Source organism: Homo sapiens, chromosome 1 (genome assembly GCF_000001405.40).
Source record: "Homo sapiens chromosome 1, GRCh38.p14 Primary Assembly".
Lineage (NCBI taxonomy): Eukaryota > Metazoa > Chordata > Mammalia > Primates > Hominidae > Homo > Homo sapiens.
This window is the reverse complement of record NC_000001.11, coordinates 33,170,499-33,185,346: the sequence shown is the minus strand read 5'-3', so window position 1 is coordinate 33,185,346 and position 14,848 is coordinate 33,170,499. Positions and strand designations below refer to the sequence as shown.

Below are 14,848 nucleotides of genomic sequence, written 5' to 3'. Positions count from 1 at the left end.
GGGAGGCTGAAGCACAAGAATTGCTTGAGGCTGGGAGGTGGAGGTTGCAGTGAGCCAAGATTGCACCACTTCACTCCAGCCTGGGCAACAGAGCAAGACTCCATCTCAAAAGAAAAAAAAAAGAGTCTGTGACTTTCAGCCAGAGAAAACCACATACTATGTCCTTTGGAGGAGATTAGACCTACATATTAAGACTATCTACTGAAAGGATTTAGACAATAGAGTAAAATAGTACCAGAGCCTCTTCTAAAAACAGCTGCAAAATTGGCTGGGCGCAGTGGCTCATGCCTGTATTCCCAGCACTTTGGGAGGCAGAGGCGGTTGGATGACCTGAGGTCAGGAGTTTGAGACCAGCCTGACCAATATGGTGAAACCCTGTCTTTACTAAAAATACAAAAATTAGCCAGGCATGGTGGTATGCGCCTGTAGTCCCAGCTACTAGGGAGGCTGAGATAGGAGAATCACTTGGACCTGGGAGGCAGAGGTTGCAGTGAGCCAAGATCATGCCACTGTGCTCCAGCCAGGGTGACAGAGCGAGACTCCATCTCAAATAAATAAATAATAAAAACAGCTGCAAAATAGTATGGAGAAAGCTGGGCTGCTGCAACAAAAGACCCAAAATACAATGGCTCTTAGAAAATAAGTTTACTTCTCACTCTGTAGTCCATGTCAGGGTGGCTGTACTTCATGCAGTCATTCAGGAACCCAGGATCCTCCCATATCTTTGCTCCATCAGCCCTTTTGAAGCATTATTGAAGCTGTGTCCCTGGTACATCTATGTTCCAACTCAAGAGAAGAGAAAATGGAGCATGGGAGAGCAAAAGCTTCATGCCTTAAGGTCTATTTCTATTTATGTTCTATTAGAAAGATTTTAGTCACCAAGTCTCACTCGGCTGCAAGAACAGCTGGGATGTATGATCTCTAGTGGACCAGCCATTCCTCCGACTGCTACTCTACTACATAGAAGAACAGGAGGATGAAGTTTAGTGGACAGCTAGCAATTTCCATCACATCTCCTTTATTTGAGCCTTGGTATCTTCCTCTATAAAACGGGGATAATAATATAAACTAGTTAAGGCTGCTTTGGGACTGAAATCCAATAATATATGTGAGAATGCTTAGCAAGCCCTACTGTGCCTGATAAGAATTTCTCATTGATTTTGCCCTCTAGACTGCCAGCTCCTTGGGAGCAAGGAGCATAGTTTATTCCACCTCCTCACAAAGACCTGCTTGGAGTCAGCATCAGTAAATACATGTTGAATAATGAAGTCACTGTTTCATCCATCATCAAGCCTTTTTTTTTTTCATTTCATTTCAAATGCTTCAATAATTTAGACTCTGCCCTGTTCACTTTCCCCACCCCCTCATTAGGGGTGCACGTCAGTATATCAGTTGGGATTCTCTGGGTTGCAAAGTGACAATGCACTACTGTTAAACTGGCTTATGCAATAAGATGGACCATCTCACATATCCTGAAGTCCAGACTCTGCATCAGAATAAAAGCTTCTCTTCCCTAGGACTCTCTTGGCCTTGCCCTCCCTTCTGTATTTGCTGCATCCTCAGACTGGGAGCAAGATGGCTGTTGCAATTCCAAGCATTGCCACCAAACATATCCCAGCAAAGGGGGCAGACTGTTTTGCAAAGTAAAGAGACCATTTCCTGAAAACCCCTCTCTGCCATAGGCTTCCCCTTTAGTTTTTCAGGCTGGACCTGCCCAAACCGTCACTGGCAAGAGGAATGAGACCACCATAATGGACTTGGACCAAACAAGACTCACTCCATGAGACCACCATAATGGACTTGGACCAAACAAGACTCACTCCTGGAAATGGGCTGGGGTCAGCCTTCCTTGGGTCACTTGGGGAAGGGGGCCACCTGACCAAAATCAGGGCTCTGCCCATAAGAAAATGTTGAGAAACTGCTGTTGCATGAGCAACCAACTATTTTTCTCGCAATGATGGAGATTCTGGGCCAGATGAGGGTGTGATGGAGAAAGTGTTAACCATAGAGAACTAAACTGAGAGCTTTTTCATAAACTGTACCTCAATAAAGTTTAACACCAATGAAGATATTTCTGGAGGAGGCAGAAACTGGTAGCCACCCTCTATGGCTCATTTCCCTCACCCCCGTATCCAACCATCACCAAATGTCACCGTGTCTGTACTTGCAATACCCTAGTCTTCTCTCCTTACCCACTGCTGAGGCCCCAGTTCGGGTCTCACCTCCTGCAGGCACGATGACAACAGCACCTTAGGGGTGCCCAGTCTTTCCTTCCTCCTGCAACCCAGGGCGTTGATGCGGTTATTCAGCTACACACCTTTACTGTGTGCTGAGTGCTGTGCATCCGCAGACACATTGGAAAAGCTCCCTGTCTTCTTCACCTTGCAGATGGTATAATGATTATCTCCAAGACTTCCTGAAACCCAATCGGACCAGGTCATTCCCTTGCCTGAAAGCCCCATGCCTTCAAGAAATTCTTTACCATGACCCACAATGCCCTCCAGCCCACCCAGGCTCCTTCTCCACCCCACCCCCAACAGTACAGAATTACTAGCACTTCCTTCACTGCGCCCTCCCCTTTCACGCCTCTATGCTTTTGCACAGGCTGTCTCCTCTGCCTAGAAATCCCTTATCCCCTCTCCATCTGGCACACAAGACAAGTTCTCCTATTACTTTTTCTCCCTCTCTCCTGCTCCACCCCTCACCGCCTTACACACACACACACACACACACACACACACACACAAATACAGCACTCCAGAATTGTTTGCCAATGGAGGCAGCCTCCGGGGCCAGATGTTAGCCAGGGCTTTCCAAACTTCTCCCCAAGCACTCCTTAAGAAAGTGAAGAGGAAATGGGACCCCAGGGCTTAGGAGTGTGAGGGCCTTGAACTCGCTCTAAGCAAGCAGGGCATTTCAAGAGTTTTATCTTTATATTTTATGCAGAAGTTGTATTCCAAATATATTCTTGTTCGTTTTAATACAAAATATGATTTTTTCTACATCTTCAAATCGATGATCCAGAAAGATGCTCCTTGTTTATTTGTTGTGCTCTCAAATTAGCTGCTCCGCCTCGCCGCGGGGACCCTAAGCGAGACCTGGATGCAGTTCCAAGTACACACCCCGAAGGAACAGCTGGGCTTCGCTTCCCTGGGAGCTGGAGGATGGTGGGGGTGGGGCGGGGTCAACCGGCTGGTGGCCCCGCCCCTCCCCCGCCCGCTGCGGGGGCGGAGTTGCTTGGGTCCCGCCCACGGGGGCGGGGAGGCAGCCGCGGCCACCGGCAGCTCGGATTCGGCTGGTTCCGGGTTGAGAGGCTGCGCTGGACCGAAGCGGTGGCTGCTAAGCTCGCGGGGGTAAGGGGTCGCGCTGGGCCAGGGTTTGGGGCCGGGATCCGGCAGCTGAGCGGGCCGGCACCCCTCCTCTTCTCTGCCGGTCACAGCCAATGTACGGCTCGGCCTGGCTGCCCCCTCCCCCAGGATTCCCCATCCCCAGCTTCTCGCCCTCCCCGCACCGCCCCCACCCCGGGATTTCGACCCCCTTAAGGGCTCCACCCCGCTCCGGGATCCCCTTCTCCCAGCTCCTATCCCTTAGGACTGCCCCGCCCCCTAGAACCTCCCCGTCAGGATCTCCGTCCCTCAGCCGCTCACAGCCTCCTCCCAGCGCCCATCGCCTTGAGCTGCCCACTACCTCTAGACTGCCCTCCCGGGCTGGCGTCCCACGGAGTCTCAGCCGCGCACCCCTTCCTCGCGTTACCCTCCTTCCGGACAGCACCCCCTCCCTTCTCCGGTAGCTCCTACCCCTGCCTGTGCGGGCCTCGTCCCCGCGCCCAGCCCTCGGTGCTGCCTCCGACAGCGCCGCGCTCTCTCAGCCGCCCCCCTGCCCCTCGGGCCCCCCTCTCTGCTGCCCCTGGCGCCATGGCGTGCAGCCTCAAGGACGAGCTGCTGTGCTCCATCTGCCTGAGCATCTACCAGGACCCGGTGAGCCTGGGCTGCGAGCATTACTTCTGCCGCCGCTGCATCACGGAGCACTGGGTGCGGCAGGAGGCGCAGGGCGCCCGCGACTGCCCCGAGTGCCGGCGCACGTTCGCCGAGCCCGCGCTGGCGCCCAGCCTCAAGCTGGCCAACATCGTGGAGCGCTACAGCTCCTTCCCGCTGGACGCCATCCTCAACGCGCGCCGCGCCGCGCGACCCTGCCAGGCGCACGACAAGGTCAAGCTCTTCTGCCTCACGGACCGCGCGCTTCTCTGCTTCTTCTGCGACGAGCCTGCACTGCACGAGCAGCATCAGGTCACCGGCATCGACGACGCCTTCGACGAGCTGCAGGTGCGCTACCCGGCCTGCCTGGGGAAGGGGCGGGGCCGGGCTGGAGGTGGGGCCGGGCGGGGGGTGGGGTCAGGGCTGGACCGCGGGCCAGGCCCAGTCAGAATGGTCCTGGGGCGGGGCCGCCAGCAAGGTCAGGGCCCTATCAGGAGTAACGCGGGGCAGGGAGGGGCGGGGCCGCCGCATGGCGGGGCCGTGGGGGCGGGGCCTTGGGCAGTCCGGACCCTGAGGGATCTGAGACAGACCTGGAGTACCGGCTGGTCCGCGGTTAGGGAGAAGTCGGGGATGCGGATGGGATGGCGGAAACAAGTGAGATCAGAACTGGACCAGATACTGGGCTGGGGCAGGGTTGTGGACGAACCGGAATCAGAGTTGGGCAAAGGCAGGGCCACTGTCAGACTGAGGGCGAGGTCGCGAGGATGGGTCTGTATTAAACCGGGTAGCTGAGCTCTGGCAGGCTGGGGGTTCTGTGGGGGCGGAGACCGGATCAGATGTGCATCAGGACTAAGAGGAGTACGGGGGCTAGAATGTGCTGGACAGGTGAGGGTGAAACCTAATAGAGTGGTATAAGTTAGGGTGCCAAAGTGCTGAGAGGGCAGGTTTGAGTACCGAGGGTTAGGCCAAGGTGTATGAGGGGTTAAGACTGAGATCAGGTCCGGATACTCTACAACAAGTTTAGATTTAAGCCAGAGTAGAGGCCAGGTTGAGTGGGGCCAGGACTTAAAGGTAAAGATTTGGAGAATAAGGCCCAGATGTAAGGTGATTCAAGAAGGGAGGGGCTAGACCTCTAGGAGTCTCTAGAGGTTTTTGATGACCTCTTTGGCTCTGTCCCCCACATCAGGACTTTTGAAGACTAAGTGAAACGGTACATGCAGAGTGACCTGAGCATAGTTGGCATAGAACTCTAATCGGTCTCCCTTAAGACTTCCTGTCTTCACTGACAAACTCCTACTCAACTTTTATTGAGCCTTGCTCAAATATCCTCTCCGTGAAGCCTTCTCCAAGTTCCACTGGTCAAACAAACAAACAAACAAACAAAAACATTAGAACTGCATTTCCCCAAATGCTCTCTATTAATAAGTGTGGGAAATATAGTATATTTTTTATACCCACCCCCTTGGAGAATTTTCAGTGTGCATTTGCATATTAAAAGCTTAGAGAAATTTTGTTGCAAATAAATCTATTTTACTGTGTTTAATAAAATGGTTCCCAAGCTTACTTGGGCCTGGAATCCTTTTTTCAAGCTAAATCACTTAAATCCAGCAGCCCCATGTACCTGGCTTTGGGATACTAGTCGAGCACGTAGTTCTCCAAGGCCAGAGACAGAATCTTATTTCTCCTATCTATGGCCCCAAAGCCTGGTGCAAGGCCTGGCCCACAGTACACACCAATAAAGGCCAAATGAATGAACGAAAGAATGACCAACCCTGGCCTAAGCTGGACCACACTGTGGAGCGTTTGGAAGCAGAAGGTTTTTGGCTCAAACATTTTATGAAAATGGAGTGGGCTAACTTGGGAGGTAATGAGCTCTCTGGCCTCGAGATACTCAAACAGAAACTAAATAATTACTTTCCCCTGTATTGTAGGGGCTCCCAACCCCTCCACACACTAGTCTTTGAGTAGGCCTGCACCCAGCAGATGCCCATGGGCCTCAGGAGAAATGGCCCATGTTCACCATCGCTCCTTCCCTGTCCCTTTTATCTCAAAACTACAACTGACTCCCTTCCAGTCTAGCTGTCTGAGGATGAAGGCCCCATCAGAGGGTGAGCAAGGGCCTGGGCCTCTGGGAGCCTGCACAAGGCTTGGCCCTCCACCCCCAGAGCCATCGTTTTAGGCGCTGCTGCTGTCCATCTCCCCGTCTATGGAGTCACATAAGCAGGAAGAGTTTGAGGGGACTCTGTCTGAAACCATCTGTCCAACCTCTTCATCATGTAGGAATGGAAAGTGAGGCCTGGAGAAGTTATGTGACTTGCCCAAGGCCACACTTCCAGACAGTGAGAGAGCCAGGGCTATAGGGCACAGCCTGACCCAGATCCCTCTTCTCTGATCTCTCCCCTCCTTGTCTGACCTTCTAGCCTCTGCTTCAGAGCCTTGGTTCTCCTGTCTGCAAACCAGGAAATCCAAATTACTGTATGTTGGGCTTCTGTACTCTATCCCATGACCTGGGGGACACAGGAGAAATTGAACATGTATTACCTACAAATATTATTGAAATGCTTCATTATTGGGTGAAAAGTAAAACAGGACTGCCACTTGCTTACTCTCTAGTGCACTGTTGTGGGGTTGGACATACTTGGGTTCCAAACCTGCTGTGGGCACTGTGTGCACCTTGGTGAGTCACTTCATGTAAACGCTGATGCTCTGTCTGTACAATGGGGTCAGGATGCTTCCTTCCTACCAGGACTTTTGTGAAGCTGACCTGGGATTAACCTGCTATTTGAGGTTCAAAGGCACACAGTACGGGCTGGAATAACATACAGCCCACCTTTTCTCTTTCTGCCTGTGAGAGCTCATGTGCCCAGCTGAGTGAATGCCCAGACTCTCCTCTCTGGCCCGAGAAGGAGGCCTTGCTTTAGTGTGTCCTCTGGGCTTGGCAATTTGGTGGCAGAGAAATCTGCCTCCCATCTAGAGAGGATGTGCTGCTGGGTGAGATTCAAGGCACCCTCCACCCCACCTGCCTCTCCCTCCATATGGGGAAGGCAAGGCTTATTAGCTATTTATGCAGCAGAAATAAGGCTGAACCCACCCTCACATCCCCTTCTCTCCCAGCAGCTGATGGAGCTGGGGCCCTTCTGCAGAATTACAGACTCAGAGCCATGCAGATGATCTGGTGCCACATCCACTTGACAGATGGGGAAACAGGAGAGGGAGAGGGAGGAAGGGAACTTGCCTAAGGCCTCGAAGCCAGAGGAAGCTGGGCCTATACTCAGCTGGAGTCTCCCAACACCCTACCTAGCAGTTGGCGTGCAGCTTTTACATTTATTATAAATCCTTGAGGCATCAGAGCAGAGAAATTAAGAGCCCTGCTTTGTACCCAGGTAATCTCAATCCTGGCTCTACCATTTACTGTGTGACTTTGGGAAGATTATTTACCATCTCTGAGCCTTGGGTCCTTCATGGACAGCATGGAAGTAATTATATTAGGATTAAACAAGATGATGTTTATAAAAACTTAGTACTGCACTTGGCACCTAACAGCACTCAATAAATGACAGCTATAGTAGGTTACATCGTACTCGGCATTATTGACATTTGGGGCTAGATAACTGTTGTGCAGGGCCATCTTGTGTGTTATAGGAAGTCTGGTAGCATTCCTGGCCTCTACCCATTAGATGCCAGTAGCAAACTCCACCCACCCCGCAAGTTGTGACAATCAAAACCATCTCCAAGCATTGACAAATGTCTCCTAGAGTCAAAATCACCTCTAGTTGAGAAACCTGACCTAGAAAAGTCCCACTGAACTTTAAAACTTCAGGTCAAATATCACCTCCTCTGTGAAGCCTTCCCTGACCTACTAAGCACAATTGCTTTGTACTCCAGATTACATCACAGGGGTCAGATCCTGACATGCTGTGTGTCCTTGGTCACGTCACTTTGCTTCTCTAAGGCTCCTTCTCTAAGGTTCATCTATAACAAGAGGATATGATGTTCCTGGGAAGGATGTTGTAAGGGTTAGGGATCCTTTATCAGAAGTGCCTAGTACTGTGCCTGGCATAGTAGGCACCCCAAAACTATTTTTAAATGTCTTTATTCTGATTATAAAATTAACATAAGAAGCAGAGCTGTATAATGTAAAAGTTAAAGTCCCCCCATAATAATACCCCATGAAACATGGCAGGAGTTACTATACAGTTCTAAGGATTTTTATGTAACCTGTGGGTGTGCATGTGCGTGTGTGTGCATGCGTACATGCATGTGTGTGTGCATGTGTGTGCATTTGTGCATGCATGTGTGTGTGTGCATGTGTGTGTGTGTGCGTGTGTGTGTGCATGTGTATGTGTGTTGGTGTCTTCCTCCCCACCTCCACTGCTGAGTACCTGGACCACTGAGCAAAGTGGAGGGAAGGAGCCCATTTCCAAAGAGTTCAGGGCTTCTCAGCCAATATTCATCGAGCCCAGTCTGAATGCCTGGGACTGCACTAAGGGCTTTTCTTGCATTACCTCATTTAATCTTCATAGCACCCTGTGGGATGGGTATTGTTATCTATTTCTTCTACTGATGAAGAAACAGACTCAGAGGAATTAAGTGACTCATTTGGTCACGCAGCTGGTAAATGGCAGGGCCAGGATTGGAAGCCAGTCTGACTAGGCCACATACCGTCCCTGAGCTACCTCTGAGGGCTGGGTAATTGTCTCCCAGCCACCCTGCCTGTCCTGTATTGACAGGGCTAGGCCATCTGTGCCAGCTGACGCCCCGAGGGCAGGTGGTTGGGACGTCATCTTGGTCAGAGCAGACGTGGCATCCGGCTCTCTGGCCGTCTCAGGTTCCTAACCCCCAGAGAGGGGATCCGATTCAGTCTCAGCCGCCCCCTCCAGGCCTCATGTGACCATTGGAGCCCTTCCCAAGGCTTCCTTCATGCCAGAGAAGACAGCAGTGGATCAGCCTTGGACGCAAGCCCTGGTAGGCAGGGTATGGTGATCCAGTGACACCAAGGCAGCCACCCAAGGAGGGAGGGGGCTGGGGGCTAGGTTCAAATTTCGGCTCTGGTTTCTTCCAGGAGAGGGGGTGACACCCTCTTACCCAATCTGAGAAATGGAAGTAAGAACTAGCCCTCCTGCTTTCTGTATAAAGAGAGAGAAAGAGTTGCTAAATATCCAAAGAAATGAGAGATTCAGAGGCACTTTATTTTGTAGCATGGACAGGAAGGCAGCTGGGTTGTCTGTGTTGTGGGGAAGTGGCTCTGCTGTTACTTTTCCAAGGAGAGGGCAGGATTTCTATGCCAACAGCAGCCTCTGTGAGGGCAAAGCTGGCTGTGGGTCAAACTCAGAGCTGGCCGCTGGCATCTCCACATCCCTCTTCACAGGTGTCTGGGCAGCCAGGATACCTTTGCTGAGCACGGGCCACAGTGTAGAAGCTTAGGGCCAACATTGGGGACCCCAAGATGTTTATTTTATAGAAAGAAAAAAGACCTGGTAGGGACTAACAATGATGAAACAATGACTCTATAAAATTATAGCCCAAGTTTTGGAGGCACAAAGTAAGTTATGGGGCACTTACTGTGTGCCAGGTGCTGTGTTATAGGCATTTGATTCTCACAAGGATTTTTTCGTTCCCTACTCCCTGAGTGGGACTGAGATCAGTACCATCTCACAGATGAAGAAAATGAGGCTGAGAGATTCAGTAACCTTCCCAAGATCACACTGCAAGTAGGAGGAAGAGCTGAGATTCAAAGTGGTCTTTCTGACTCAGAATTCACCCTCCTTCCCAACACGCCAACTGTCCCAGGGAGCACCAAATGGGGAGGAACCTGAGAAACCATCTGGTTGACACGCTCCCCATTTTGCAGATGGGGAAACTGCCTTGCCCAGGGTTAGACCAGAGCTCAGCTCTCCCGACTCAGTCCAGTGTTGTTTTCCCAGTACCATTTACCTTCCTGACCTCCATCTCTGCTTGAACACTCAGAGGGATGAGGCAGATTTGGAGGTGAGTTCTGTCTTGGATTCAGGGATTCCTTTAATAATTTCTGGGCTGGGCGCAGTGGCCCACGCCTGTAATCCCAGCACTTCAGGAGGCCAAGGCAGGCGGATCACCTGAGTTTGAGATCAGCCTGGCCAACATTATGAAACCCCCATCTCTACTAAAAATACAAAAAAAAAAAAAATTAGCTGGGCATTCGTGGCACACACCTATAATCCCAGCTACTCGGGAGGCTGAGGCACGAGAATCGCTTGAACCGGGAGGCAGAGGTTGCAGTGAGCTGAGATTATTCCACTACTCTCCAGCCTGGGTGACAGAGTGAGACTCCATCTTAAAAAAAATACATATACATATACATAAACATATACATATACATATACATATACATACATGTGTGTGTGCATATATATGTATATGTGTGTATATATATATATATATATATATACACACATATATGTATGTGTGTGTGTGTATATATATATATACACACACACACATAATTTCTTTAGCCAGTATCTGTGCCATGGCTACAGAGGGCCAGCCCTGTGTTGGGCCCAGGAGAGAACTACACAAGACCTGGCCCTGTGTGGTCCCGAAAGATAGGCCCATAAACTGGTAGGTTGCTGTAACTGAGGCTTGCTCTGTTGAGCTGAATCCTAAAAGATACGCTGAGTACTTCAGGCCAGGGAGCAGAAAGAAAGATGTTATGGACAGAGGGAACAAAAACATGCACAGCCTGGTGCAGATTGTTCCACGGACTGGGTTCAAGGCTTTGACAGGCAGTCATGCTCTCCTTCTCTCTCTCTCCCCCAGCCTACCTCTCATTTAATTCTAACAGTAACCCTATGAGATGGATCTCATTGCCCCATTTTATAAATGGAGAAACTGAGGCTCAGAAACTGTGCCTAGCTGGGCACAGTAGCTCACACCTGTAACTCCAGTACTTTGAGAGGTCAAGGCAAGAGGATTGCTTGAGCCCAGAAGTTCGAGACCAGTGTGGGCAACATGGCAAAACCCTATCTCTATAAAAAATGCAAAAAAATTAGCTGGGCATGGTTTCATGCACCTGTAGTCCCAGCTATTTGGGAGGCTGAGGTGGGAGGATCACTTGAGCCCAGGAGGTTGAAACTGCAGTGAGCTGTGATGGTGCCACTGCACTACAGCCAGCCTGGGCAACAGAGTGAGACCCTGTCTCAAAAAACCAAAAAGGAAAAACAGAAACTGTGCCTAAGGGCCTGGAAAGGGAGAAGGGAGAAGAAGGGGGAAGAAGAAAGGGGGGAAAAGAATATAAATGTATTTACTACCTCTGAATTGTACACCTAAAAATGGTAAAGATGATAAGGTATATATGTATATTTTACCTCAATAAAATTTTTTTTAAAAAGAGGCTAAGCACAGTGGCTTATGCTTCTAATCCCAGCTCTTGGGAGGCCAAGGTGGGAGGATCATTTGAGGCCAGAAGCTAGGAGTTCGAGACCATCCTGGGCAACACAGAGAGACCCCATCTCTACAATAAATTTTTAAAAATTATCCAGGCATGATGCATGCCTGTAGTGTGAGGTACTTGGGAGGCTGAGGCAGGAGGATTACTTGAGCCCCAGGAGTTTGAGGCTATAGTGAGCTATGATTGCACCACTGCACTTCAGCCTAGGTGATAGAGTGAGCCCTTGTCTCTAAAAAAATTTTTTTTAATTAGGGAAAAAAAAAAAAAAGAAAGAAACTGTGCTTAAGGTCAGAAAACCACTAAGTGTCCCTGAAGCTGAAACTTGAACTCAGGTTATCTGAGTGTGACCAGGGACAGGCATGGAGGTGAGCACACATGTGTTCAGGTGGTTCGTTGTGGCTAGAGGGGAGGGTGTGGCAGGAGGAGGTAAGAATGGAAAAGCAAGGCTTGACCAGCTCAGGAAGGGCTTTGAATGCTTGAATGTGCACATACATGCACACACACACATACACACATACACATGCATGCGCACACAAGCTCACACACACACATGCACGCACCCATTGAGCTTGATCCTTACTTAACATGCTAGGAAGCCAGAAACAAATGTGAGCAGGCAAGTGCAGCCCGGCCAGGTCTGCATTATGGACCAAGCACTGTGGGGCAGTGTGCCAGGGGAGCTGGTGGGAGACCCTAGAAGCAGGGACTGGCCAGATGTTGCCAGAGATTGTGTGGCTCAGAAGTGCACAGGGAGGGTTGGGGCTCAAAGATATAAAATAATTCCAGTCTGTTGGGAGGACCAGGAGCATCCGGTTCTAGGTATAGATGAAGGATTGGGGTTGGGGGAGGAAAGGGAGAGGCAAGTTCAAGTTTGTCACGGTCAGGTTTCTGGCATCCTTGGGTCAGAGAGGGAAAGAGAGAGCAGTACCCAGACATGGAGAAGAGGAGAGGCTTGAGCACCTATTGTGTGCAGCGCCATGCTGGGCCGTGTCATAGGTGCCATCTCACTTTAGCCTTCATCACAACACTGTGAAAGCTTGCGGAGGTGAGCCCTGAGCGAAAGTCATGCTGTCAGGATTTGAACACAGGCTTTTCTGATGAAGAGTCCCTGAAGCCAGAGCTGAGATGGCTTTCCACAGCTGCTTTGTCCCCTGGACCAGAGGGAGGGATGGCCTCACAGCAGGAGAGATCTGGCCTTGGGAACATTTGAGCCCTGCCTCTCTGTGCCCCCCAACTCCTCTGTTGCCCCAGTCCTGGCTTCTTCATACCAATAAAGAGCCCCAGAGCCTCAAAGCTGGCATATTTGCATAACTGTGTGCTCAGGGCTGCGCAGACTCCACAGCCCCACCCTCTGAGGTGTGTCCTCCCCACTCACCTCATCCTGCCCGGCCCACCCCCGCTCCGATGGGGCCCTGTGGAATCCAACTCTCCCAGGCTGACATTCAAGGCCTCCTCCAGTGCCCACCCCTACCCTAGCTAGCCCCAGCTGGCCTTTCCAGCTTGTGACTCCACCCACCTGTCACATGCCTGGCTGCAGCCATCCCCAACCACCCCGACTTCCTGCACACGTGAGGGTGGGCCCCTACCCAACCTGTTCTCCCCACCTGCAATGCCCTGGCCCATCCTGGAGACTTGAAGGAACCCTGGCCATCCATCTTCCTTTGTCCTTCCATCAGAAACAAACTCCTTCCTTGAAGCTCCCCCCGTTCTGAGTCCCAACTTTACATATAGTTACTATGATGATAATGACAACTAAGATTGATTGAGCTCACCCTGTACGTCATGTCAGGTCATGAATTAAGTCATTTCATTCCCAGAGCAAGCCTATGGAGCAGGTGCTGTTAGGCCTTACTTAATAGATTTGAGGTCCGGTGCCATGGCTGATGCCTGTAATCACAGCACTTTGGGAGGCCAAGGTAGGCAGATCACTTGAGGTCAGGAGTTCAAGACCAGCCTGACCAACATGGTGAAACCCCATCTCTACTAAAAATACAAAAATTAGCCAGGCGTGGTGTCGGGCGCCTATAATCCCAGCTACTCAGGAGGCTGAGGCAGGAGTATCACTTGAACCTGGGAGGCAGAGGTTGTAGTGAGCCAAGATCGCACCACTACACCCCAGACTGGGTTACAGAGCGAGATTCTGTCTCAAAAAAATAAAAAATAAAAATAAGACCTTACTTTACAGATTTGGAAACCAAGGTGGAGGGAGGGTGCTGTGAGCACAGCCAGGTGTTGTCAGCTGTTCTGGATCCTAGCAGGCCCTCCATGTTTATCCTGTTCTTCTTTGTATTTTACCTATTCAAGTTTCTTCCTCCTCGACTAACTGCAAATTTTTCAAGGACCATGTATAGGCCCACCCCTGGAGCGGCCAGCACAAAGCCTGACACTCATTGGGTACTCAGAAATTTTTGCTGCATTGATTTGCATGGGAGGTAGGGAGGCCAAGAGATTTTGAACATGGATTTTCGGAGCCACTGAGAGCCTCCCCTCTGCCTCTTACTAGCTGTGTGAACTTAGGCAAGCTGCCTAACCTCACTGAGCCTCAATTTCCCCCTCTGTGAGATGGACGCAATAAAGACACTACTAACCTTGTGGATTGTTGTGAGAATTAGGTGACAAGATGCCTGTGAAATTCAAACCCAAACCACATCCGCCTCCAGCCCCTCTGGTCCTGGGTCTCTGCCGTTACCAGTGTCCTTCCTCAGGGTTAAGCTGTATCACTTGAGAGTTTATCAGGCTCCAGTTTCCTGTGTGACCTCTCTGCTGGAGTAAAATTTCTAGTTTGTTCTCCTGTGTCAAGCTGTGTGGCCGTGGGCCAGTCAGTCCCTTCCCTTGGGCCTGTGTTTCCTGTCCTGGCAATCCAAGGGGTTGGACCAGATGGTCCCTGCAGCCTCTTCCTGCTCTGGCCATCTGAGAAGGGAAGGAGGGGCCACCTGGACACAGTGAGGGATGAAGACACAAAGAAGCGACTAGGGAGCCGCATACGGGACACAGTGACCGCTCTGTCTCCCGAGCACCCAGGGTGTGCCAGGCTCTGTGCCCTGTGAGGCTGAACACTTCTTACCATTGTCTCACTTTATCCTCCCAACCCTAGGAGATATGATTATCCCCATTTTTCAGACAAGGCACTGGGGCACAGAGAGGTTAGGTGACATCCTAGGGTCACACAGCCCAATGGGTGGTAGAGCCAGTCTTCTAACCAAGGAAGGAGACACGTTGGAGCGGGAGGGGTGACACAGCTCAGGCAGCCTTCTAAGTCCTACCTTCTGGACTCTAGGGTTTGGTTTTCCTAAGTTAGCTGTTTCTTTGGGCTCTGCACCTAGCCCATCCAAGGAACTCTGCCTGCTGGGGGCCTTCTCTCCCCTCCCACCCTTTCGAGGTGAACTCTGACTCAGCCTAGCCTCATCCTTGGGCAGGGACATCCTGAAGACTCAGCGAGGCCAGGGGT

The 14,848-nt window shown here is 50.9% G+C and overlaps 2 protein-coding genes across 3 annotated transcripts in view, besides 7 other annotated features; one reads left to right on the top strand and one right to left on the bottom strand.

The window, feature by feature from the left end:
• The window catches only part of ZNF362 (zinc finger protein 362), a 173,198-nt gene that overhangs the window by 115,373 nt on the left and 42,977 nt on the right, over window positions 1–14,848 (bottom strand). The window lies entirely within an intron of this gene.
• Window positions 3,130–3,439: a silencer, noted in NCBI's record as "silent region_619". NCBI's record gives its function as "represses an Ori minimal core promoter by ATAC-STARR-seq in GM12878 lymphoblastoid cells {active_cell/tissue: GM12878}" and the evidence as "EXISTENCE:reporter gene assay evidence [ECO:0000049][PMID:35858748]".
• Window positions 3,304–14,848, top strand: part of TRIM62 (tripartite motif containing 62) — a 36,645-nt gene continuing 25,100 nt past the window's right edge. The window contains exon 1 of one of the 2 annotated variants that reach the window (NM_018207.3): window positions 3,304–4,322. In NM_018207.3, coding sequence (NP_060677.2) covers window positions 3,915–4,322 — 408 coding nt within the window. In that variant the 5' untranslated portion in view covers window positions 3,304–3,914. Of the gene's footprint in view, window positions 4,323–8,796; window positions 8,940–14,848 lie in introns of those variants that run through there. The other variant, NM_001330483.2, reaches the window with a different exon arrangement.
• Window positions 3,670–3,739: a silencer, noted in NCBI's record as "silent region_618". NCBI's record gives its function as "represses an Ori minimal core promoter by ATAC-STARR-seq in GM12878 lymphoblastoid cells {active_cell/tissue: GM12878}" and the evidence as "EXISTENCE:reporter gene assay evidence [ECO:0000049][PMID:35858748]".
• Window positions 4,330–4,529: a silencer, noted in NCBI's record as "silent region_617". NCBI's record gives its function as "represses an Ori minimal core promoter by ATAC-STARR-seq in GM12878 lymphoblastoid cells {active_cell/tissue: GM12878}" and the evidence as "EXISTENCE:reporter gene assay evidence [ECO:0000049][PMID:35858748]".
• Window positions 4,612–4,781: an enhancer, noted in NCBI's record as "experimental_7044 CRE fragment used in MPRA reporter constructs". NCBI's record gives its function as "activates a minimal promoter by MPRAs in K562 erythroleukemia cells, with activity observed for the non-introgressed 1:33646252 variant allele {active_cell/tissue: K562}" and the evidence as "EXISTENCE:reporter gene assay evidence [ECO:0000049][PMID:34662402]".
• Window positions 6,881–7,050: an enhancer, noted in NCBI's record as "experimental_7034 CRE fragment used in MPRA reporter constructs". NCBI's record gives its function as "activates a minimal promoter by MPRAs in K562 erythroleukemia cells, with activity observed for the introgressed 1:33643983 or rs3766820 variant allele {active_cell/tissue: K562}" and the evidence as "EXISTENCE:reporter gene assay evidence [ECO:0000049][PMID:34662402]".
• Window position 6,965: a transcriptional cis regulatory region, noted in NCBI's record as "Neanderthal adaptively introgressed variant 1:33643983 (GRCh37/hg19 assembly coordinates) or rs3766820 in the experimental_7034 CRE". NCBI's record gives its function as "modulates activity of the experimental_7034 enhancer by MPRAs in K562 erythroleukemia cells {active_cell/tissue: K562}" and the evidence as "EXISTENCE:reporter gene assay evidence [ECO:0000049][PMID:34662402]".
• Window positions 12,439–12,608: an enhancer, noted in NCBI's record as "experimental_7027 CRE fragment used in MPRA reporter constructs". NCBI's record gives its function as "activates a minimal promoter by MPRAs in K562 erythroleukemia cells, with activity observed for both the introgressed and non-introgressed 1:33638425 variant alleles {active_cell/tissue: K562}" and the evidence as "EXISTENCE:reporter gene assay evidence [ECO:0000049][PMID:34662402]".